Source organism: Homo sapiens, chromosome 9, assembly GCF_000001405.40.
Source record: "Homo sapiens chromosome 9, GRCh38.p14 Primary Assembly".
In the NCBI taxonomy this organism is placed as follows: domain Eukaryota; kingdom Metazoa; phylum Chordata; class Mammalia; order Primates; family Hominidae; genus Homo; species Homo sapiens.
Window position 1 is genome coordinate 127978042 of NC_000009.12, and position 24796 is coordinate 128002837.

Genomic DNA, 24796 nt, shown 5'->3' on the forward strand with positions numbered 1-24796 from the left:
TGGCCTCAGGATCACAGGCTTCCCAGGCAACCAAGGAGGCCAGCCACCCCCACCACAAGGGGCAGCCCTTGTCCAAATTCCTCAGATAAGCAGCTCCCAACAGAACAGGGAGCCAGTGCTCAGAAAAAGCACCCCACCCTGTCCACACCGGAGATTCCTAAATCTGAGCCTGGCTGTGCAGTTCCCCTCCCTTCCCCTCCTCCCAGCAGAGTGTTTGACCTCTGGATTCAGCCAGCAGGCCCCCAAACCAGCGAAGTTCAGTTAATAACAGACTCCTTCGAGGTCCCTGGCAAGCCACTGACTTCCTCTTTCTGGGCCTCAGTTTCTCCGCCTATAACACGCACACATGGGCTCTCAGAACAGGGAGGCAGCTCTGGCTAACAGGGCCCACAAGGAGGCCCAGGGAGCAAAGGGCAGACCAGGTAGGGAAGCAGCGTGTCCCAGGCACTCGGCCAGGCCCTGCCCGCATACTATTTTATTTCATTTTTATTTTTTAAAAAGAGAGAGGCCGGGTGCAGTGGCTCACACTTGTAATCCCAGCACTCTAGAAGGCCAGGGGGCGGGGTGCGGGGTGGATCATTTGCAGTCAGGAGTTCGAGACCAGCCTCGCCAACATGGTAAAACCCCATTTCTACTAAAAATACAAAAAAATTATCGTGGTAGCGTGCGCCTGTAATCTCAGCTACTGAGGACGCTGAGGCAGGAGGATCGCTTGAACCCAGGAGGTGGAGGTTGCAGTGACCCAAGATCACGCCACTGCATTCCAGCCTAGGCAACAGAGTGAGACTCCATCTAAAAAATAAACAAAATTAAAATTTAAAAAAAATTAGCTGGGTGTGGTGGTTGGCACCTGTAATCCCAGCTATTCAGGAGACTGAGATATGAGAATTGATTGAACCCGGGAGGTAGAGGTTGCAGTGAGCCATGCTTGTGTCACTGCACTCCAGCCTGGGCAACAGAGTTAAATCGCGTCCCCCCAAAAAAGAAAAAAAAATAGAGACAGGAATCTAAGTCGTCCACGCTGGTCTTGAACTCCTGGCCTCAAGCAAGTCTTCCACGTAGGCCTCCCAAAGTGCTGGGATTACAGGAGTAAGCCACAGCATCCAGCCTGCCCTAAGTTCTCGCTGCTGCAGCTTCTCCACCTGTATTAGGCTCACTTTCCAGAAGAGGAGGCCCAGAAAGTAACAGAGTCAAGAGTCACACTCCCATCTGTAGAAGTCCAAGGCTCTTCGGAGACAGGCCAGGATGATGTGACCCCAGCTGGGCCCAATTGGCAAGGGACAGCCTGGGAACTCAGTTGCATTCAGCAACAAGCTGGGCAGCTGGACCTGCCAGGATGGGGACGAACAACACAAAACCAAACTCAACGGAGCCTCTTTCAGAGAGGGCAGCAGCCTCCTCGACAAGGGTATTTGCAATGCAAAGCAGCCCAGCTCCAGCCAGAGGAGGATAGTCACTCGGAGGGGGCTGGGTAGGCCAAAATCCAGCCACCTCCCTCCAGCCAGACTAGGGAGTGCCTGCGATCGGGCCTTCCCAGGCGCCTGGGGGTGCCGGGGAACCCGTGGCTGGCCTGGACTCTTGAATCATATGACAGCCCCAGTGGCCAGTTCGGGTGCAAGGTGGCCTGAACACCCCTCCCCTGCACAATCGCTCAGGGTACAAATCCCTGATAGGCTGTACATGCAAGTCTGCAGAATGGACCTACTGCAGGCGGCACGCAGGGCCCCAAGAGAAGGCTGAAAGACTAGACCCCCAGGTATTTGGCTGGCGGCTGCCTGGCACCCTGCCAACTGCCTCAGGCCCAGTCCTGCCTTGTGCAACCTGCCCCAGGCACACAGAATCCCCCGGATCCTCCTCACACCGGCCCCAAGGGGCCCTTCCACACTTGCCAAGTGTCTAGGTCTCGCTCATCACCCCCGCTGCTGCAGGCGCGACCGCCCCAGCTCCTACCTTGACGACAAGCTGACAAAATCCCCTCCATCCAGCAGCCGGACCTTGCAGAAGAGGACCCCGTTCACGAAGGGAACCGCAGTCAGCTCCTCCAGGGTGAAAGTAGTTTGGAATTTGAATTTCTTCTTCTTCATCAAGAAAGCCATGAGCGAGTTCCCTGAGTCTGAAGCCCCGAAGGCGAAAAAAGGTGGAGAGGGACGGGATTCCTTTCCCTACACCACACCCCCTCCTCAAAACACCAGAGCCGGATCCCGCCCTGATGGTGGCGGAGACGGCGGAGATCGGAGTCCGGGGCCCCAGGTCTGAGAGATCCACCAGTCCAGTTCGCGGGCCGGCGGGCTTCACCCTCGGGGAGCCGGGGCTCGGAGGGGTTCGGAGCGGCCGGGGACCTCACCGGCATGTAAACAGCAGGGCATGGCCCAGGAGGCAGAGGCAGGGGCGGAGGTGCGGGGCTGCGCGCGAGCGGCCGCGCTGGCTTGCAGCATCCCGAGACGCGATGTCCGGGGAGCTCACGCCGCGCGGCCGGGCGGACCGGTGAGACTGAGGGCGGCGGGCGGGCTGGCTGGCCGGTAAGGCTGAGGGCGGAGGGCGGCCCCGCCCCCGCCCCGCTGGCGGCCGGGGGAGGTGCCCTCGCCGCTCACGCCCCCGCACCTGGGTGCCGGGCGGCCAGCGCAGGTGAAGCCGGGGAAGGTGGGGCACCCCCAGGGGGCTGCCAGGAGCTCGGGGGCCTCTCCAGGAGGCGCGTCGGGGTCGCTGCGGGCCGGGAACGTCCGGCCTCGGGCCTCCTCAGGGCAGGCACCGGGCCGGCCCCGGGCAGCGGAGGCGCCGCCTCCTCCTCGATCCTGGGACCCGCGCCGCGGGCCCCGGCGGAGCTGAGGCGCCCTTCGGCCCGGCCGGTGGCGCCCGCCTCGCCCGGCACCCTTCGAGCAGCAGCGCCGCCCCCTGCGGCCCCGACGCTGCAGCCAGAGCCCGATGCTGCGAGGCGCCGCTTGGAGAATGCCTGGGCCCCGCGCGGCCGCCCGCCTAGCCGCCGCCGAGCACGGCAGGGGCGGGGCGCCGGCGGCTCAGCCCTCCCGCTATTGCGCGGCCCGGCTAGGCGGGCGCGCAGCGCGATTGGTGGGCGGTGGCGTGGGGTGGGACTCGCGGGAGGCAGAGGCGGCTCGGGGCTCTCGGATTGGTGCACCGCGCGGCCGGGCCCGCCTCCTAGGGCGGGGCGGGGCTGAGGGAAGGGAGAGGGGCCCTGGGAAGGCAGTGGGAGGTCGCAGGGCTGGCGGGGCAGGGAGAGCGCGAGCAGAAGAAAAGAAGAAACAATGACAAGGAGAAACAGTTTGTGGCTGCAGCGGCCTTCCAGGGTCCCGCCAGACTTGAGCTCGTAGAACCCTGAAGCAGGCCCGGAAGGTAGCGAGTCTCCTTTCTCAGAAAGCTGGCGCCCAGAGAGAGCCCCTGGCAGGTCGCTTGCTCGCCCTGAATCTCTAGTGCCCCTCAGCAATGAGCAGAGAAGCGTCTGGAAGGCTTCGCCGAGGAGGTGGCTCTGGCTCAGTCCATCACGCAGCCTTGTGACCCAGCTTGTAACATTCCAAGCTGTTATCTAAGCTTTCTGTTGTCCTTTAGTTTCTTGCCCAGCGTGACTGGTCTCACTGACTAGTTAGCTGTTCTGGGGGCAGAACCCACTCGAAAGCCTCGTACCTCCCAGGCCCCTCGGCATATTGTGGTTCATTCATCCAGTCCCCAAATGTTTAGGGGCAGTCTCCACTAAGCCAGGCTGGGACCTAGTGGAGAACCTGGTGGGCTTGCCCTTCCCAAATGCTCCCAGCTCAAGACCACCAGGTGGAGAAGCAGACAGGGACACAGGCAGCGACAAATCTATGGGTAAGAGTTGTAACAGGGGATAAGAGGCACCTGACATGGGTTGGGGCGCAGACTCAGAAAGTCTCGAACAAAGGGAGCCAAGCCATCCACAGGATGCGTGCCCTGAGTCACGCAGGGTCCAGGCATAGGGAGCTGCCAGAGACCTGGTGGCTGGAGATCGTGGTGCCCGCAGAAAGTTTCAGGCAACTACATCTGGCTGTACTGTGGCAGTTGGAGAGAGGGGCAAGAGATGGGGCTGGAAAGGCCAGATCTCCCAGAGTCTTGTAAGACCGTAAGGAGGAAGCCACGGACACGCGTTGAGATGGAGAGTGTCCTGGTCAGATTTGCTTTATTTTTTATTTATTTATTTTTTTTTGAGACGGAGTTTCGCTCTTTTTGCCCAGGCTGGAGTGCAGTGGTGCAATTTCCACTCACTGCAACCTCCGCCTCCTGGGTTCAAGCGATTCTCCTGCCTCAGCCTCCTAAGTAGCTGGGATTACAGGTGCGCGCCGCCACGCCCGGCTAATTTTGTATTTGTAGTACAGACCGGGTTTCACCGTGTTCGCCAGGCTGGTCTCAAACTCCTGACCTCAGGTGATCCGCCCACCTCGGCCTCTCAGAGTGCTGGGATTACAGGCGTGAGCCACGAGGCAAGGCCCAGATTTGCTTTTTGTCCTAAGAAGCTTGCTCTGGCTGTGGGCAGTGTGAAGGGGACAAGCTGGGAAACAGGTGGATGAGGAGTTTGTTTGGTGATGCAGGCAAGAGATGATGACAGTGCAACCTCAGCATTGTGGAGAAAGCAAGAGGATAGGTCTGAGGCATCTGAGAGACAGGTTTGACTGGACTTAGGGATGAGTTAGGTCTGGACATGTGGTGACCAAGGACTCTGGTTTCTTCCTTCTTCCCAGCTGTAAGATGGGTGGCGATCCATATTTCTCTCCAGTTTGTCCCATAATTTAGATCAGAGAGTTAACCAGATTAAAGAAAAGTGTTAACAGCAGCTTCCAATGTGACTGTGTGTCCCCTTTGGCAAACGGGGAAGTTAAGGCCTAGAGGATTTAAAACACTTGCCTGGGGTCTTTCCCCTGAAGCACAGGCTCAGAGTGCTGAACTGTGCTGCACACAGTGTGGGGTGTGCTCTCCTCACTATCTTGGCTGGGCCTGCTCCACAAGGGCAGAGCCTGTGGCTACCTGACCCCAGGAGGAGACTTCAGAGTGGAGAGCCAGCCAAGGACATCCCAGTGACTGGCTGGCTCCTCAGCTATGACCCTGAGTAACCTTGGGCCACCCAACAGGAAGCAGGGTGGGCCTGACTGCCAGGTTTAGCTGGGGTTGGGTATTTATCTCTCTGCGGCCTGTGGCCTGGGAACCCAGGAAATTTCCCTTCCCTCATTTCCCTGATGGTGCCTGGGGAAGGGGGAGAGTATGGTGCCAGGACAGCATGCTAGATTTGGGTGAGACAAGCCTGAGTTAGGATCCTGGCTCTGCTGCATGGTGGCGGTGTGGCCTTGGTTCAGGTCTCTGAATTGGTAAGGGGTTCGGTGTGGTATGGCTGGGACCACTTGCAACAGAACTGAGTTCAAAATCCGGCTACTTTGCCATTGACAACCGGGGCCACACAAGCTTTGGGTGCACCTTTGCATATGTAGAAAGGAATCTTGAAGAATACCGTAAACTTTCCCATCTCAGCCACGCTTCTTCACCTGTAAAATGGGAATCAGGATTTCCATCTTTCCGGAATGTGGTGAGGACTTCAAGAGGCTGTGCCTGTGAAAGGAATAGGCAGCTCCACACTTCCCCAGCCTCCCAAATTCCCAAGCATGGCCTATCCTACCTCCCCGAGGCCATGACCAGACGCATAAGGAACCTAGTACCAAACAAGATAATTGTTTGCCAGACCACAAGGCAAGTCGTCTGGAGAAGGAAACCCAGGGAAAGGTCAGAGAATGATTGGGTTGGAAGTCCTGATACAGATAGGGTGGTCAAGGAAGGCTTTTATGAGGTGTCATCTTAGCCAAGACCTAAGTAATAAGGCGGACCCAGGTACAGGAAGCTCTGGGGACAGAGGCATGAGCTGACATGTTTGGAGGACTCCGTGTGACTAGAATAGAGTGAGTACAGGGGACAGAGAGCGGTGGGGCAGACGAGCCTGTGCACATGGGCCCTTGTGGGCCTAGGAGGTGTTTTTTGTTTTGTTTTGTTTTGTTTTGAGTCCCGGTCTCACTCTGTTGCCCAGGCTGTAGTGCAGTGGCATGATCTCAGCTCACTGCAACCTCTAGCAGGTGTTTAGAGTTTATTCTAAGCCCCACGGGACAGCACTGGAGCATGTGAGCAGGCAGAAGGGTGACAAGATGCAAATTAACATTTTGTGTGTGTGTGTGTGTGTGTGTGTGTTTTGAGACTGAGTTTTGCTCTTGTTGCACAGGCTGGAGTGCAATGGCGCGATCTCGGCTCACTGCAACCTCTGCCTCCCGGGTTCAAGCGATTCTCCTGCCTCAGCCTCACAAGTAGCTGAGATTACAGGCATGCGCCACCATGCCCGGCTAATTTTTTGTATTTAATAGAGACGGGTTTCACCATGTTGGTCAGACGGGACTCAAACTCCTGACCTCAGGTGATCCACCCGGCTTGGCCTCCCAAAGTGCTGGGATTGCAGGCATGCACCATGCGCCTGGCCAAATTAACTTTTTTTTTTTTTTTTTTTTTTTCAGACAGAGTTTTGCTCTTGTTGCCCAGGCTGGAGTGTAATGGCTTGATCTTGGCTCACCACAACCTCCACCTCCCAGGTTCAAGCGATTCTCCTGCCTCAGTCTCCCAAGTAGCTGGGATTATAGGCATGTGCCACCACGCCCGGCTAATTTTGTATTTTTAGTAGAGACGTGGTTTCTCCATGTTGGTCAGGCTGGTCTCAAACTCCCGACCTCAGGTGATCTGCCTGCCTCGGCCCAAATTAACATTTTTAAACACTCCTTCTGGCTACTGAGAATGGATTGATTGGCAGGGGGCAAGAACAGAAGCAGGCAGACAGTGAGGAGGCAATTGCAGCCATCCCAGTGGGAGATTGACCAGGGTAACCAGGGTGGACACAGAGCGATGGCAAGAGAAAGGGAATCCATTTCAGAGGAAGCACTGACAGCACTTGCTGAGCAATAATAGTTATGGAAGGTCGTGGTCAAAGCTCAAGAGCCCAGGAAGGATGTACAGCCTTTTGAATATTCCCAGTTATTTTGATTTTGATTGAATGTGTCCCATGGTTCTTGGAGTCGGGAGTTTAGGGAGTCTAAGCACTGGCTTAGGTGTGGGGAAGGAGTGGAGAGGAATGAAGGAATTCCATGTGACTGCAGGCTCCAGAATACAATCACACCTGGAGAAAGTGGGAGGGCCTTAGAGAATCCTTATCCTTATCTGGCCCTGGACAAACCTTGTGATGCCATTTCCTTAGCTCTGTCTCTCTTTAGATCGTGAGCTTCACAGGGTCAGATGCCTCTCCTATAGAGTCCCCATGTCCAGTACTGGGCCTGCCACGTAACTGATGCTCCAAAAATGGTGGTCAAAGGAATGCATGGTAGCTCACACCTGTAATCCCAGCACTTTGGGAGGCCGAGGTGGTGGATCACTTGAGCCCAGGAGTTCAAGACCAGCCTGGGCAACATGGCGAGACCCCCCCATCTCTACAAAAAAATTAAAAATTAGCTGGGTGTGGTGGTGTGCACCTGTGGTTCCAGCTACTCGGGAGGCTGAGGTGGGTGGATAGCCTGAGCCCAAAAGGTCCAGGCTCTTCTGGTGAGCACAGCAAGACCCCGTCTCTAAACAAATATTTAAATTATATATATATATACACACACACACACACACACACACACATATGTGTGTGTGTATATATATATATATATATATATTTCTATATATAGGCTGGGCGTGGTGACTCAGCCTGTAATCCCAGCACTTTGGGACGCTGAGGCAGGAGGATGGCTGGATGGCTTGAGCCCAGGAGTTTGAGATCAGCCTAGGCAACATAGTGAGATCCCTCCTCTTTTTTTTTTTTTTTTTTTAAAAAAAGAAAAAATCTGTATGTTTAGAAAGGGAGCTGGGCATGGTAGCTCACACCACTAATCCCAGCACTTTGGGAGGCCAAGGCAGGTGGATCACTTGAGGTCAGGAGTTCGAGCAGCCTGACCAACATAGTGAAACCCCGTCTCTACTGAAAAAAAAAAAAGAAAAGAAAATAGGGGCTGGGCCCAGTGGCTCACGCCTATAATCCCAGCACTTTCGGAGGCCAAAGTGGGTAGATCACTTGAGGTCAGCAGTTCAAAACCAGTTTGGCCAAGATGGTGAAACCCCATCTCTACTAAAAATACAAAAATTAGCAGGGTGTGGTGGGGGGCGCTTGTAATCCCAGGTGCCTGGGAGGCTGAGGCAGGAGAAAGGCTTGAATCTGGGAGGCAGAGATTGCAGTGAGTCAAGATCGCGCCACTGCACTCCAGCCTGGGCGACAGAGCGAGACTCCGTCTCAAAAAACAAACAAACTACAAAAGTTAACCGGACATGGTGGCAGGTGCCTGTAATCCCAGCTACTTGGGAGGCTGGAGGAGGAGAATTGCTGGAACCCAGGAGGCGGAGGTTGCGGTGAGTGTAGATCATGCCACTGCACTCCAGCCTGGACAACAGAGCAAGATTCTGTCTCAAAAAAAAAAAAAAAAAAAAAAGAATATTCTTGGATATTGTTTGATTTTTGTAAGATGAATTTGTTTTATAATTTAACAATATATAATTATAAGAATGTTATAAACAAAAGCCTTTCCCCATCATTCTCCGGATAAAATCCAAGGTTCTTAGCCTGGCATTCAGGACCCTCTGGAAGCAACCGCTCAGCCCGTCCCTGACTGCCTCCCTTGGGCCCCTGCAGCCCTGATGCCCACAGGTCCTGGGCTTACCCTCCTGCCCACTTGGGGACACCTACTCAATGTCTCAATGTCTAGCTTTAGCTCCAGCATCCCCGCCCATCCTATCCCCCCATCAGTTACACTGCCCACTCCCTGCTCTGTGTGCTCATGTCACCAAAAATCTGTATGCAGAGAAAATGAGGGCTTAGCCTTCTGTCTTCTGTCTCCACCATAGCTGGTGCATATTTCATTCTCATTGGAAGGGAGGGAGGGAGGGAGGGAGGGCAGGAGGGAAGAAGGGAGAGAAGAAGGAGAGAAAGAGAAAGAAAAGAGAAACTGAGGTAGGGACAGGGAATACCACTTGCCCAAGTCACCTTGAGGGCAGCCACCCAGCTGGCCCACTCTCTCAGGCACCTGACACCCAGCACAGTGCCTGCTTCACAGCCATGCCATGCCAAGTTGTCTCCCCAGCCCTGCTTGCCAAGGGCGGTCAGTGCTGATTCACCGGTGACTGGCCTCCAATTATTTGCACAACTGGAATGGCAGGCGAGCCACCGAAGCAGCTGACCAAGGGCATATTGATTTGTGCTGGGCTCCTTGCTAATATCTGAGCCAGTCACACAAGAAGATAAAGGCCACAAAGAACTCGCCCACAGCAGTCTGTCCTGATTAAGCCTCCCACGGTCAAATCCACAAGTTTCCCTGTTGATCAGCCAACTCTGCCCTTTCCAACCCAAGCCTGACCATCACTCACAGAGGGTAGTCATGGTTCAGAACACGAGATGTGGAGTCAGGCGGCCCTAGGTTCCGGTCCAGGGATTACTGAGTCAAAGAGTATTTGCATATTTACCATTGAGAGATGTTGACAAACTGCCTTCCAAAAAGATCACACACATTTATATTCCCACCAACAGTATAAGAAAGCGGCCATTCCCACACTTTCTCCATCTTCACCAATCTGTTTGACCAAAAGAGGAAAAAAAAGCTATCCTATAGTGCTTGCATTTCTTTCATGATCATCTTTTCATATTTTTTGGTGATTTTAATTTCTTCTATAAATTGCCTGTCCACATCTTTTGTTTGTCCATTTTTAAATTTGGGAAATAATCTTTTTGTTATTTATTTGTAGTGGCTTATTACATATTGTGGACTTCAACTTTGTATATGTTAAAGTATTGCTTCTACTTATTATCTTTGTTTTTTGAGATGGAGTTTTCCTCTTACCCAGGCTGGAGTGCAGTGGTGTGATCTCACTGCAGCCTCTGCCTCCTGGGTTCAAGTGATTCTCCTGCCTCAGCCTCATGAGTACCACCCGCCACCACGCCTGGCTAGTTTTTGTATTTTTAGTAGAGATGGGGTTTCACCATGTTGGCCAGGCTGGTCTTGAACTCCTGGCCTCAAATGATCTGCCCGCCTCGGCCTCCCAAAGTGCTGGGATTACAGGCATGAGCCACCGCACCTGGCTGCTTCCACTTAGTTATCTTTAGGCTTTGTTTATTTTTTATTTTATTTTTTAGAGACACGGTCCTACTCTGTCACCCAGGCTGGAGTCCAGTGGTGCGATCATAGTTCACTGTAACCTTGAACTTCTGGGCTCAAGCAATCCACCTGCCTCAGCCTCCTGAGTAGCTATGACCACAGGTGTGTGCCACCACACCTAGCTAATTTTTTGTTTTTTGTAGAGATAGAGTCTCATTATATTGCGCGGGCTGGTCTAAACTCCTGGCCTCCAGCAATCCTCCCACCTCAGCCTCCCAAAGTACTGGGATTACAGGCGTGTGTCACCTTTCCCGGACTCTGGACTTGGTTTATGGTGTCTTTTTGCCCCATAGAAGCCTCTTACGAAGCCCCAGCTAAGAGAGAGGAGTCAATCTACTTCAGTGGAAAGAATTCTAGATTGAGAGTCAGGAGGAAGACCTGTGTACCTCCATGGGCTAGACCAGCACTGTCCAAAGAACTTTCTGCAGTGACAGACATGCCCCATATCTGCACTCTCCAATTTGATAACCAGTAGCCGCATGTGGCTATTGAGCACTTGAAATGTGCCTGGTGTGACTGAGAAACTGAATTCTAAATTTCATTTAATTCGAATTTTAAATTCAAGTAGCCACACATGGCCAATGACTATTGGGCAGCACATGTGTAGATGGCCTACATTTCTGAGCAAGCTGCAATACCTAGTTGCTATTAGGGGATGAAGAGTCCCTGTGTGGCTTGGGTCAGGCACTCCATTTCTCTGGGCCTCAGTTTCCCCATTTGTTCAGTGAGGCTCACAACAGCCCCTGCTTCCTGAGGTTCTTCTACAAATTTGGTTTGTGGGTTGTGTGTGAAGGTCCAGGCCCTGTACTTGACCCAACAGCGCAAAATCAGGCCACATTCCCAGGTTGAAACATGAGAGTATGTTGGCCCTGTTTACACTGTGTACAGAGACCCCTGGGTGGCTTTCTCCAGAGCTACCCTCCTTCAGCTGGGAGGCCAGCTTTCCCTTCCTAATCCAGCTCCAGCAGGCCTCAGCCTGGGACTCCATATCGCTGACAGGGCAACGTCCAAACTCTCCAGCCTGTGTTCTGGCCTCTGAGAGCTGGCCCTGCCCTGGCATTACTGTCGTTCCTACAATATGTAGGTCAGCCCAGCAGCCTCCCCAGCCTTACCCTGTGTCTGCCTCCTACCCCAGCCTTCTAAGGTCTGCTGAGCCACTTCATTCACTCACTTCATTCATTCATTTTTCATTCACAGGTGTTTATCCGACCATCTGCTCTGGGACTGGGGCTACAATGAGGGATACATGGATGTGGCCCAAATGATGACTGTTGTGATACACCTAGTTAGGGTGGTGGGGGCTGGGGTTCAGGGAGCAATGGGAACACAGAGAAGGTCTGCCTGGGGTGGGTGGTCAGGGCAGGCTTCCCTCAGGAAGTGACATGTAAGCCCAAGCCTGATGAGTGGATAGAAGCAGCCAGGAGAGCAGGGAGCCGCTGGAGAAGACAGTCTGAGTCGACCTGCAGCAGAAGACAGAGGGTCCCATGATCTGCAGAGGCATGAGCAAAGCTGGAAATGAAACAGGCCCAATTCCACTAGAGGGGCTTATCGGCCATATGAAGGTGTTGAGGCCACGTGAGGTGGCTTGCGCCTGTAATCGCAATGCTTTAAGAGGCTGAAGCAGGAGGATCGCTTGCACCCAGGAGTTTGAGGCTGCAGTCAGCCACTGCACTCCAACCTGGGCAACAAAGTGAGATCCCATCTCTTAAAAAAAAAAAAAGGCTGGGCACGGTGGCTCATGCCTGTAATCCCAGCACTTTGGGAGGCCGAGGCGGGTGGATCACCTGAGGTCAGGGGTTTGAGACCAGCCTGGCCAACATGGCGAAAACCCGTCTCTACTAAAAATACAAAAATTAGCTGGGGGTGGTGGCGGGTGCCTGTAATCCCAGCTGCTTGGGAAGCTGAGGCAGGAGAATCGCTTGAATCTGGGAGCCGGAGGTTGCACTGAGCCGAGATTGTGCCACTGCACTCCAGCCTGGGTGACAGAGTGAGACTCCATAAAAAAAAAAAAAAAAAAAAAAATTAGCCGGGTGTGGTGGTGGACACCTGTAATCCCAGCTACTTGGGAGGGAGGCTGAGGCAGGAGAATCACTTGAACCTGGGAGGCAGAGGTTGCAGTGAGCCGAGATTGCACCATTGCACTCCAGCCTGGGCAACAAGAGTGAAACTCCACCTCAAAAAAAAAAAAAAAGGATGTGTCCTTTAGTCCTTTATCCTGAAGGTAATGGGGAGCCACGGAAGGTGTTGAAGGATGATGTGATTACTCCAGGGGTCAGCTCCCCACATAGCCTTTGTCTCCCCCTGGAATTCAGGAATTTAGCCCCCTTTACGTTTCCTTTCTCCACCTGCCACCTAGGTTTCAAAATACTTTAGTGCACACAGTTCCCAGGAACTTTCTCCCACCTGTAGTGCCCTAGGTTCAAACTGCAGCCCTGCCACACCTTGGCCCTATCACTTCAAGCAAGTCATGAACCTCTTTCACCCTTCACCTTTCAGTGTCCTCACCCGTAAAATGGAGATAATGATACCTTCTCTGCACAGTTACATATGTTATGAGAGAACATTGCATGCCACAGAGCCACCAGGAAATGGAGTCTAGTTGAATTCCTTCTGTGCACGGTCAATCAAAGCCATGAAGGGGGCCTGAGGGGCTTCCCAAAGGGCAAGCAGAAGTCTCATTCCTGGGAAGTGTCCTTGGGCCAGCTGGCCCCAATGGGAGTGGAGGGAAGCATTTCTGAGGCCTTTCTTGGGCAGCCTGACCATGTGCTAGGTACCTCAAAGCAGATCCCCCAAACCTAGAGTCGGACTTCTGCACCTTCTCAGAGCCCCCACCCAGCAGGCCAGGAGTCGGCAGGCTGGTGTGGGGCTTACATAACCTGGCAGGAGTCCCACACCTTTCACCCAGTGATCGGGGCTGTGTTTACCCAGAAGAGGAGTTGCCGGGTCACCTCCCTGTCCTCTTAGGTACCTGCTCACAACACAGCCCTTTAGCCTTTGCTGAGCTCTGCTTATTTTCTGAGTTCTTAGTCATAGTCCCTGGCGTTACTGTTGGCAACGGCTATTGTTTTGTTTTGTTTTTTATTGATATATCATAGCAGGTGGTGTTTGATACATGTATACACCGTGTACTGATCAAATTGGGATAATTGAGAAATCCATCACCTCAAACATTTACCATTTCTTTGTGTTGAGAACATTACAATTCTTCTAGCTATTTTGAAACATATAATAAATGTCAACCATAGTTGCTCTACTGTACTATTGAATACTAGAACTTATTTCTTTTGCTTTTTTTTTTTTTTTTAAAGACACGGTTTCACTTCCATCACCCTGGCTGGAGTGCAATGGCATGATCTCGACTCACTGAAGCCTCCACCTCCCAGGCTCAAGCAATTCTCCTGCCTCAGCCTCCTGAGTAGATGGGACTACAGGCACATGCCACCACGCCTGGCTAATATTTATATTTTTAGTAGAGACAGGGTTTCACCATGTTGGCCAGGCTGTTCTTGAACTCTTGAGCTCAAGTGATCCACCTGCCTCGGCCTCCCAAAGTACTGGGACTACAGGCATGAGGCACAGCACCTGGTGAATTTATATCTTCTATCTAACTGTATTTCTGTACCCATTAACCAACTTCCTTCTTTTAATTCCCCCCAACACACCCCACAACAGCTATTTTTTTCAATGTGAAAGTATCAGTAGTGGCATTTAGTGGTGAGGCACTGGAGAGTAGTAGGAGACAGACGGAGCAGCAGGGACTGGAGATCTGAACAGAGTGTGCGTCCCAGCCTCCTCCAGCTGTTAGCTCTGGGACCTGGAGCCAGTTGCTTGAAGTCTCTGAGCCTCAGTTTTCACAGCTGAAAAGTGGGTTTAGTGGCCATGCTGTCATGAGGAGTAATGTATACAAAAGGCTCCTGAATTACTTGGCAGCTGGCCCTGCTCATCAAATGTTGGCCTTTTTTATTTTTATTTTTTTTTTGAGATGGAGTCTTGCTCTGTTGCCCAGGCTAGAGTACAATGGTGTGAGGCTCACTGCAACCTCTGCCACCTGGGTTCAAGCAATTCTCCTGCCTCAGCCTCCTGAGTACCTGGGATTATAGGCATGTGCCACCACACCCGGCTAATTTTTGTATTTTTAGTAGAGACAAGGTTTCACCATTTTGGCCAGGGTGGTCTTGAACTCCTGATCTCAGGTGATCCGCCTGTCTTGGCCTCCCAAAGTGCTGGGATTATAGGCGTGAGCCACCGCGCCCGGCCTGTTGTTGTTTTTTTACATGGAGTCTCACTCTGTCGCCCAGGCTGGAGTGCAGTGTTGTGATCTTGGCTCACCTCAACCTCTGCTTCCAGGGTTCAAGCAATTCTCCTGCCTCAGCCTCCCTAGTAGCTGGGATTACAAGCACCCACCACCACGCCCAGCTAATTTTTGTATTTTTAGTAGAGAGGGGGTTTCACCATCTTGGCCAGGCTGATCTTGAACTCCTGATCACTCGCCTCGGCCTCCCAAAGTGCTGGGATTACAGGCATGAGCCACCACAACCAGCCTCACAGGGTTCTTCTGAGTCATGAGTGAATGGATATTGTAAAGTACTTAGAATAGTACTTGTTTGCTTCAACAAAAACTGAGTGCCCACTCCGTGCCAGGCACTGTTGCAGACACTGGGGATATAAGCGTGAACAACAGCCCTGAGGTTTTGTTGGTGGGGGGGAGGGGAAGAAATCTACACGTTAGCACTTGAGTGATACAGCCGCAAAGCAGAGTAGTCAGCGTTGACTATTCTCGTGCTCAGGGATTGATGCTCCTGATTCTTGATGCTCAGGGTCTGGCTCTGTCACCCAGGCTGGGGTGCAATGGCACCATCTCAGCCCACTGCAACCTCCACCTCCCAGGTTCAAGAGAATCTCCTGCCTCAGCCTCCCAAGTAGCTGGGATTATAGGAGTGTACCACCATGTCTGGCTAATTTTTGTATTTAGTAGAGACAGGGTTTCACCATGTTGGCCAGGCTGGTCTCGAACTCCTGACCTCAGGTGATCCACCTGCCTCAGCCTCCCAAACTGCTGGGATTACAAGGTGTGAGCCACTGCACCTGGCCCTGATTCTTTTTTTCTAAACAACTATAACAGCTTCTGTGTGTCGATCTCACTATGGGAGCCGTGCCCTAGACCAGCTGTGCTCCTAAGATCTCATCAGATGCCAATCACATCCTCCCCGTGGTACCATCACCATCCTCACTTCACAGTTGAAGAAATAAAGGCCCCCAACCCAGGGCCTGGCACATTACAGGGACCAGGAAGCAATTGTTAGATAAATGAGCAAACTAATGGACATCCGAATCCAACTGGCACTAACCCTTCCAGGGAGTAAGTGTTAAAGCAGGGATTAGGAGGCTTTGCACTCCTTGAGGGCAGCGAGCTCAGCCGTAGGTGCTTGTGGCTTCACTCTCAGACTATACTGTTGCCACTGTCCCCTCCGCTTCCTCCTACTCACCATCATCACAACTAACATGTTACTGAATACCTACCTAATACACACCCCTGGCATTAATCTAAGGTTTTCTGCATATGAACTTTTAAAATCCTCACAACAATCTCATGAGTTATGTCCCATTTCACAGGTGAGGAGACTGAGGCATAAAGAGGCAACATCATGCTCAGGGTGACGAGGGTAGTAAATGATGGAGCTGATTTCAAATCCAGACAGTTTGGATCCTGAGCCTGAACTCTTAACCACCGTGTTATCAAGATATTCTTCTCTCTCTCTCTCTCTTTTTTTTTTTTTTTTTGAGACAAGAGTCTTGCTCTGTCACCCAGGCTGGAGTGCACTGGCCTGATCTTGGCTCACTGCAACCTCCGCCTCCCAGGTTCAAGAGATTCTCCTGCCTCAGCCTCCCGAGTAGCTGGGATTACAGATGTGCGCCGCCACAACCAGCTAATTTTTGTATTTGTATTTTTAAATTTATTTTTATTTATTTTTTTGAGACGGAGTCTCACTCTGTCACACAGGCTGGAGTGCAGTGGCGCGATCTCGGCTCACTGCAATCTCCGCCTCCCAGGTTCAAGTAATTCTCTTGCCTCAGCCTCCCAAATAGCTGGGATTAGAGGCGCATGCCACCATGCCAGCTAATTTTTTGTATTTTTAGTAGAGACAGGGTTTCACCATGTTAGCCAGGATGGTCTTGATCTCCTGACCTCATGATCTGCCTGTCTCAGCCTCCCAAAGTGCTGGGATTACAGGTATGAGCCACCGTGCCAGGCCAATTTTTGTATTTTTAATAGAGATGGGGTTTTGCCTTGTTGGCCAGGCTGGTCTTGAACTCCTGACCTCAGGTGATCCACCCGCCTTGGCCTCTCAAAGTGCTTGGATTACAGGCGTGAGCCACTGCACCTAGCCAAGACATTCTTTTTTTATCACTGCTTCGCTGGTTTTAAAAATCAGCCGGGTGTGGTGGCTCACATCTGTAAGCCCAGCACTTTGGGAGGCTGAGGTGGGTGGATAACCTGAGGTCAGGAGTTTAAGACCAGCTTGCCCAACATGGTGAAATCCCATCTCTATTAAAAATAAAAAATGAACCGGGTGTGGTGGCAGGTGCCTGTAATCCCAGCTACTTGGGAGGCTGAGGCAGAAGAATCTCTTAAACCCAGAGGCGGAGGTTGCAGTGAGCCGAGATCATTGCCATTGCACTCCAGCCTGGGCAACAGAGCAAGACTCCATCTCAAAAATAAAAATAGCACATATTCCACAATGAAATGAAACTAGAAATCAATAGCCGAAGAGAAACTGGAAAATTCACATAAACAACACACTATTGTTTTTTTTTTGAGCCACCGTGCCAGGCCAACAACACACTTTTTTTTTTTTGAGACGGGGTCACGCTCTGTCGCCTAGGCTGTAGTGCAGTGGCGCGATCTCGGCTCACTGCAACCTCCGCCTCCCGGGTTCACACCATTCTCCTGCCTCAGCCTCCTGAGCAGCTGGGACTACAGGCACCCACCACCGCACCCAGCTAATTTTTTTGTATTTTTATTAGAGACGGGGTTTCACCGTGGTCTCGATATCCTGACCTCATGATCTGCCCCCTTCGGCCTCCCAAAGTGCTGGGATTACAGGCATGAGCCACTGCGCCCGGCCAACAACACACTCTTAACCAATGGGTCAAAGAAGAAATCACAAGGGGCTGGGCATGGTGGTTCACACCTGTAATCCCATCACTTTGGGAGGCTGAGACAGGGGGATCACGAGGTCAGGAGATCAAGACCATCCTGGCTAACACGGTGAAACCCCGTCTCTACTGAAAATACAAAAATCAGCTGGACATAGTGGTGCACGCCTGTAGTCCCAGCTAATTGGGAGGCTGAGGCAGGAGAATCGCTTGGACCTGGGAGGTGGAGGTTGCAGTGAGCCAAGATTGCACCACTGCACTCTAGCCTGGGTGGCAGAGCAAGACTCCGTCTCAAAAAAACAAAACAAAACAAAAAAAGCAGGGGGGTGAGGGGCGCGGAAATTAGGAAATATATTGAGACAAATGAAAATGAAAACACAACATATCCAAACATATGGGATGCAGCTCAGACAGTAGTAAGAGGGAAGATTACAGCAATAAACATTTACATTAAAAAGAAGAAAACACGGCCAGGTGCAGTGGCTCACGCCTGTAATCCCAGCACTTTGGGAGGCCGAGACGGGAGGATCACGAGGTCAGGAGATCGAGACCATCCTGGCTAACACAGTGAAACTCCGTCTCTACTAAAAATATGAAAAAAAAAATTATCCGGGTGTGGTGGTGGGCGCCTGTAGTCCCAGCTACTCGGGAGGCTGAGGCAGGAGAATGGCGTGAACCCGGGAGGCGGAGCTTGCAGTGAGCCGAGATGTGCCATTGCACTCCAGCCTGGGGGATAAGAGCAAAACTGTCAAAAAAGAAAAAAAAAATTACCTGTGCATGGTGGCATACACTCCCCCGTGGTTCCAGCTACTGGAGAAGTTCTAGCTACTGGAGAGGATCGCCTAAGACCAGGAGGTCGAGGCTGCAGTGAGCCGTGATCCCACCACTGCATTCTAGCCTGGGCAACAGCTTCCCAAGAAGAAAAAAGATCTCAAATCAAAAGTACTACACTCTCATCATTATAAAATTCAAGCATTGCAAAATTTTATACTATAGAAAGAGAAAGTTTAAAAAGTGAGGCCAAGGCGCAGTGGCTCACGCCTGTAATTCCAACACTTTGGGAGGCAGAGGCGGGTGGATCACGAAGTCAGGAGATCAAGACGATCCTGGCTAACACGGTGAAACCCCGTCTCTACTAAAAATACCAAAAAAATTAGCCAGGCATGGTGGCGGGCGCCTGTAGTCCCAGCTACTCGAGAGGCTGAGGCAAGAGAACGGCGTGAACCCGGAAGGCGGAGCTTATAGTGAGCCAAGATCGCGCCACTGCGCTCCAGCGGGGGCAACAGAATGAGACTCCGCCTCAAAAAAAAAAAAAAAAAAAAAAAGTGAAAGTCCTCTGTAATGCTCCTTCCCAGAGAACCTTTGTTAACAGTGTCAGATGGTTTTTTTTCAAAGCTTGCAGTGATATTTTCTTTTTTTCCTTGAATTCTTTTATTGTGGCAAAATATACATAACATAAAATTACATCTTAACCATTTTTAAGTATATAGGTCAGGAGTATTAAATGTATTCATAATGGTATGCAACCATCACCAATATCCATCCCTATAACGTTTTTAATTATGCAAAACTGAAACTTTGAACCCATTAAACACTCCCCATTTCCCCTTCCCCCAAGCCCTAGCAACCATCATTCTACTTTCTGTCTTTATGATTTTGACAGCTCTAAGTAGTTTATATCAGTGGAATCGTACAGTATCTATCTTTTTTTTTTTTTTTTTTGAGACAGAGTCCTGCTCTGTCGCCCAGGCTGGAGTGCAGTGGCAAGGTCTTGGCTCACTGCAACTCCCACCTCTCAGCTCAAGCGATTCTCCTGTCTCCCCCTCCTGAGTAGCTGGGAATACAGGTGCCCACCACCACGCCCAGCTAATTTTTGTATTTTTAGTAGAGATGGGGTTTCATCATGTTACCCAGGCTGGTCTTGAACTCCTAACCTCAAGTGATCCACCTGCCTCGGCCTCCCAAAGTGCTGGAATTACATGTGTGAGCCACCATGACCGGCCCTATCTTTTTGTGACTGGCTTATTTCATGTAGCCTAATGTCTTCAGCGTTCATCCATGTTGTAGCATGTGTCAGAATTTCCTTCCTTTTTACGGCTGCATAATATTCCATTGTTTGTATATACGACATTTATCTGTTCATCTGTTGATGGACACTTGGGTTGCTTCCATGTTTTAGCAATTGTGAATACTGTTGCCATGAACATGGGTGTATGATATCCCACTCTCAATCATTTTGTAAATCCAGAAGCAGAGTTGTTGGATCACATAGTAATTCTATTTTTAATTTTTTGAGGAACTGCCATAATGTTTTCCACAGTGGCTGCACCATGTTACATTCCTACCACCCATGTAGAAAGGTTCAAATTTCTCCTCCTTTCCAGTACTCGTTAGTGGTGTGATCTCTGCTCACTGCCTCCTGGGTTCAAGCAATTCTTGTGTCTCAGCCTCCCAAGTAGCTGGGATTACAGGCACCTGCCACCACAGCTGGCTAATTTTTGTGTCTTTAGTAGAGACCAGGTTTCACCATGTTGGCCAGGCTGGTCTCAAGCTCCTGATCTCAAGTGATTTGGCCACCTCAGCCTCCCAAAGTGCTGGGATTACAGGTGTGAGCCACTGCGCCCAGCCTGTTTTTTTTTTTTAATAGTAACCATCCTAATGAGTGTGAAATGATATCTCATTGTAGTTTTGATTTGCATTCCCCTAACAATTAGTGATATTGAGAATCTTTGGAGAATAGTCTTTTTTTTTTTTGAGACAAGGTCTTGCTGTGTCACCCAGGCTGTAGTGCAGTGGCATGATCACGGGTCACTGCAGCCTTGACTTCCCGGGCTCAAGCGATCCTCCCACCTCAGCCTCCCAAGTAGCCACCACACCCAGCTTATTTTTTTTTTGTATTTTTTTTGTAGAGATGGGGTCTCATCTTATTGCCCAGGCTGATCTCAAACTCCTGAACTCAAGCAATCCTCCCAGTTCAGCCTCCCAAAGTGCTGGGATTATAGGTGTAAGGCACGTCGCCTGGCTCCTTTGCCCATTTTTGAATCAGGTTATTTGTTTTTTGCTGTTAAGTTTTAGGAGTTCTTTATATATTCCAGGTATTAATCTCTTTTCAGATATATGATTTGTAAATATTTTCTACCATCTGTGGATTGCCTATTTAATCCATTGATATTGTCTTTGTATGCACGAAATTTTTTAACGTCCATAAAGTTCAATTTGTCTATTTTTGTTGTTGTTGCCTGTGACTTTGATGTCATAGCAAAGAAATTATTGCCAAACCCAGTGGTGTCAAGCTATTACCACATGGTTTTAGATCTTACATTTAGGTCTTTGACCCATTTTGAGTTAATTTTTATACAGTATACAGTATTGAGTAAAGCTCCAAGTTCATTCTTTTGCACCACCATTTGTTGAAAAGACCGTTCTTGAGCGCGGTGGCTCACACCTGTAATCCCAGCACTTTGGGAGGCCGAGGCAGGTGGATTACCTGAGGTCAGGCGTTTGAGACCAGCCTGGCCAACATGGTGAAACCCCGTCTCTACTAAAAATACAAAACTTGGGCCGGGCATGGTGGCTCATGCCTGTGATCCCAGCACTTTGGGAAGCTGAGGCAGGCAGATTGCCTGAGCTCAGGAGTTCGTGATCAGCCCGGGCAACACGGTGAAACCCCGTCTCTACTAAAATACAAAAAATTAGCTAGGCATGGCGGTGTGTGCCTGTAGTCCAGGCTACTTGGGGAGGCTGAGGCAGGAGAATTACTTGAACCCGGGAGGCGGAGGTTGTAGTGAGCTGAGATCACGTCACTGCACTCCAGCCTGGCGACAGAGAGAGACTCCATCTCAAAAAAAAAAAAAAAGCCAGGTGTGGTGGTGGGCGCCTGTAATCCCAGCTACTCAGAAGGCTGAGGCAGGAGAATTGCTTGAACCCAGGAGGCAGAGATTGCAGTGAGCTGAGGTCATGCCATTGCAACTCTAGCCTGGGCAACAAGAGCGAAACTCCGTCTCAAAATAAATTAATTAATTAATTACATTAATTAAATAAAACAAAATAAAATAAAAAGATCGTTTTTTTCCCCATTGAATTATCCTGGTACCATTGTCAAAGATCATTTGACCATATATGCAAGGGTTTATTTCCGGGCTCCCTATGTTCTATTCCATGAGTCTATGTGTCTGTCTTTATGTCAGTACCACATTGTTTTGATTACTGTAGCTTTGTAGTAAGTTTTGAAACCAGGAAGTATGAGTCCTCCAGCTTAGTTCTTCTTTTTCTAGATTGTTTTGGCTATTCAGGGTCCCTTGAGATTCCATGCAAATTTTAGGACAGAATTTTCTACTTTTGCAAAAATGTCATTGAGATTTTAACAGGGATTGCACTGAATCTGTACATCACTTTGGGGAGCATAAACATTTCAACAATATTGGGTCTTTCAGGACAGGTGCAGTGGTTCATGCTTGTAATTGTACTACTTTGGAAGGCCAAAGTGGAGGATTGCTTGAGCTCAGAAATTCAAGACCAGCCTGGGCAACGTAGGGAGACTATCATCTCTACAATTAAAAATAAATTAAGTCTTTCAATCTATGATCATGAGATATGTTTCCATTTATTTATGCCTTCTTTAATTTCTTTTTTTTTTTTTTTTTTTTTGAGACGGAGTCTTGCTTTTTTGCCTAGGCCGGAGTGCAGTGGCACTATCTCGGCTCACTGCAAGCTCCGCCTCCCGGATTCACGCCATTCTCCTGCCTCAGCCTCCCGAGTAGCTGGGACTACAGGCGCCTGCCACCACGCCCGGCTAATTTTTTGTATTTTTAGTAGAGACGGGGTTTCACTGTGTTAGCCAGGATGGTCTCGATTTCCTGACCTCGTGATCCACCTGCCTTGGCCTCCCAAAGTGCTGGGATTACAGGCGTGAGCCACTGCGCCCGGCCGCCTTCTTTAATTTCTTTCAGCAATGCTTTGTAGTCTTCACTGGACAGTCTCAACACCTTGGTTAATTCCTAAGCATTTTATTCTTTTTCTTTTTTCCTTTTTTCTTTCTTGTCTTTTTTTTTTTTGAGATGGAATTTCGCTCTTGTTGCCCAGGCTGGAGTGCAATGGCGTAATCTTGGCTCACCACAACCTCTGCCTCCCGGGTTCAAGAGATTCTCCTACCTCAGCCTCCTGAGTAGCTGGGATTACAGGCATGCGCCACCATGCCTGTCTAATTTTCTGTTGTTTTTTTTTTTAGTAGAGGTGGGGTTTTTCCACATTGGTCAGGCTGGTCTTTAACTCCCAACCTCAGGTGATCCACCCACCTCTGCCTCCCAAAGTTCTGGGATTACAGGCGTGAGCCACCACACCTGGCATTTTTTTTCTTCTTTTTCTTTTTTTTTTTTTTTTGAGATGGAGTTTCACTCTTGTCACCCAGTGGGGAGTGCAATGGCACGACCTCTGCTCACTGCAACCTCTGAATCCTGAGTTCAACTGATTCTCCTGTCTCAGCCTCTTGAGTAGCTGGGATCGTAGGTGCCTGCTAGCACGCCCAGGTAATTTTTGTATTTTCAGTAAAGACAGGATTTCACCACGTTAGCCAGGCTGGTTTCAAACTCCTGACCTCAGGTGATCCACCCACCTTGGCCTCCCAAAGTGCTGGGATTACAGGCAAGAGCCACTGCACCCAACCGATTTTATTATTTTTGATGCCATTATAAATATAATTGTTTTTATAATTTCCTTTTGAGATTGTTCGCTGTTAATGTGTGGAAATGCCGCTGATTTTTGTCGTTTGGTTTTTTTTTTTTTTAATGGGATAATATGAAACGTTTTGTTTTATTTTACCTGCTAGTGAGCTTGCAGGCTGCTGCTTGTGGAACATTGTCTTCATGGCTGCACGGGTCTGTGGTGAAGACATCCACACAGGATTTAGCCAGTTCCATCAGGATATGTTTGGGTGTTTGCAGTTTTTTACCATTTCAAGCCACACTGCAGTAAGCACCCTTGTAAATGCTCCCTATGCACTGCTGGGAGGGTCTTGGGCTAATTGCCAGTAGTAGAGCCGCTGGGACACAGGGCAAGAACATTTTTAATGTTCCCTACAGGAAGGTAAAGCCAGCTTTTCCTAGAGGGTAGAAGACCGTTGGTCCTGTACCCCCATTATTGGTGCGGCTGTCTTTGCTCAGCTGATCAATATGACCCCTATTTGTTCTGAGCAGTGCCTGACCCATGAGAGCTGCGCAGACGTTCATAGTGACAGTCCTGCTGCTGCCAGCAGGGTCTGGAAATTGACCATCTTGTCAGGAAGATTCATCAAGTGGCTGAAGACGAAGAACTAAAAAAACCCCATGTTTGCCTTTTAACTCATTTAGGCAAGCCAGGAATGTCCAAAACTAGCCCTCGGCCAGAGCTGTCCTGCAAAACCGCCAGGGCCTTCCCTTCAAGGAGAGCACTGCCCCAGCCAGCCTCTGATTAGCATCTCTACACATGGATAGCCCGGCCGGCTGAATTCCCTTCCAGAATGCAGCCAACAGCCTTTTCCCCTGAATCATCGTGACTCCTGCAAACCGGCACTGAAGTGATTAACTTCCTTCTGGGCCACCCGGTAGCAAACGTCTCCTGGACACATCCACAGTTTTGTCCTGCTGCCACCTCAAAGAGAGCTGTGAGGCCGGGCGTGGTGGCTCACGCCTGTATTCCCAGCAATCTGGGAGGTGGAGGCGGGTGGATCACCTGAGGTCAGGAGTTCAAGACGAGCCTGGCCAACATGGTGAGACTCCATCTCTACAAAAATATAAAAATTAGCCGGGCATAATGGTGGGTGCCTGTAATCCCAGCTACTCAGGAGGCTGAGGCGGGAGAATCGCTTGAACTAGGGAGGCGGGTGTTGAAATGAGCCGAGATGGTGCCATCTCTAGCCAGGGAAATAGAGCAAGACTCCATCTCAAAAAAAAAAAAGAGAGAGAGAGCTGCGAGTATTCCTCAATGATAGCTGGTAGGAAGTGGTACAGGGTCACAGAGAGAGTGGCCAGACCCCTGGAGACCAGGGCAGGGTCCTTATGGTGCCCTGTCAGTGTTGCCCCGGTGACTTGGCAGAGCACTCACCTAATCTGGGGCGCGCTGGACATGTTGTTCCCTCTCACCTGCACCTCTTTCTGCTGCACACCCCGCCCCCACTGCTTTGCCTGGTCTACTCCTTGTCACTGTTTTCTTTTCTTTTTCTTTCTTTTTTTTTTTTTTTTTTTTTTTTTGAGACAGAGTCTCGCTCTGTTGCCCAGGCTGGAATACAATGGTGCGATCTTGGCTCACTGCAACCTCCGCCTCATGGGCTCAAGAGATTCTCCTGCCTCAGCCTCCTGAATAGCTGGGACTATAGGCGCATGCCACCATGCCTGGATAATTTTTGTATTTTTAGTAGAGACTGGGTTTAGCCATGTTGGCCAGGC

The 24796-nt window shown here is 50.5% G+C and overlaps 1 protein-coding gene across 1 annotated transcript in view, besides 7 other annotated features; it reads right to left on the reverse strand.

Annotated features, from left to right (window-relative positions):
* EEIG1 (estrogen-induced osteoclastogenesis regulator 1) overlaps positions 1-2948 on the reverse strand; it is a 40408-nt gene extending 37460 nt beyond the window's left edge. The window contains exon 1 of the mRNA NM_001035254.3: positions 1951-2948. Coding sequence (NP_001030331.1) covers positions 1951-2096 — 146 coding nt within the window. The 5' untranslated portion in view covers positions 2097-2948. The remainder of the gene's footprint in view (positions 1-1950) is intronic.
* Positions 1965-2096: an enhancer, noted in NCBI's record as "conserved acetylation island sequence 15". NCBI's record gives its function as "activates a minimal heat-shock promoter by reporter assays in Jurkat T cells {active_cell/tissue: Jurkat}" and the evidence as "EXISTENCE:reporter gene assay evidence [ECO:0000049][PMID:17135569]".
* Positions 2445-3254: a silencer, noted in NCBI's record as "silent region_20319". NCBI's record gives its function as "represses an Ori minimal core promoter by ATAC-STARR-seq in GM12878 lymphoblastoid cells {active_cell/tissue: GM12878}" and the evidence as "EXISTENCE:reporter gene assay evidence [ECO:0000049][PMID:35858748]".
* Positions 5784-5933: an enhancer, noted in NCBI's record as "active region_29064". NCBI's record gives its function as "activates an Ori minimal core promoter by ATAC-STARR-seq in GM12878 lymphoblastoid cells {active_cell/tissue: GM12878}" and the evidence as "EXISTENCE:reporter gene assay evidence [ECO:0000049][PMID:35858748]".
* Positions 22959-23165: a silencer, noted in NCBI's record as "fragment chr9:130763279-130763485 (GRCh37/hg19 assembly coordinates)". NCBI's record gives its function as "represses an EF-1alpha promoter that drives an FKBP-Casp9 reporter gene in an ReSE screen in K562 erythroleukemia cells {active_cell/tissue: K562}" and the evidence as "EXISTENCE:reporter gene assay evidence [ECO:0000049][PMID:32094911]".
* Positions 22959-23550: a biological region, named in NCBI's record as "H3K27ac-H3K4me1 hESC enhancer GRCh37_chr9:130763335-130763870".
* Positions 23015-23550: an enhancer, noted in NCBI's record as "H3K27ac-H3K4me1 hESC enhancer chr9:130763335-130763870 (GRCh37/hg19 assembly coordinates)". NCBI's record gives its function as "activates a minimal SCP1, AML or CMV promoter by ChIP-STARR-seq in naive H9 embryonic stem cells {active_cell/tissue: H9 hESC(naive)}" and the evidence as "EXISTENCE:reporter gene assay evidence [ECO:0000049][PMID:30033119]".
* Positions 23551-24084: an enhancer, noted in NCBI's record as "H3K27ac-H3K4me1 hESC enhancer chr9:130763871-130764404 (GRCh37/hg19 assembly coordinates)". NCBI's record gives its function as "activates a minimal SCP1, AML or CMV promoter by ChIP-STARR-seq in naive H9 embryonic stem cells {active_cell/tissue: H9 hESC(naive)}" and the evidence as "EXISTENCE:reporter gene assay evidence [ECO:0000049][PMID:30033119]".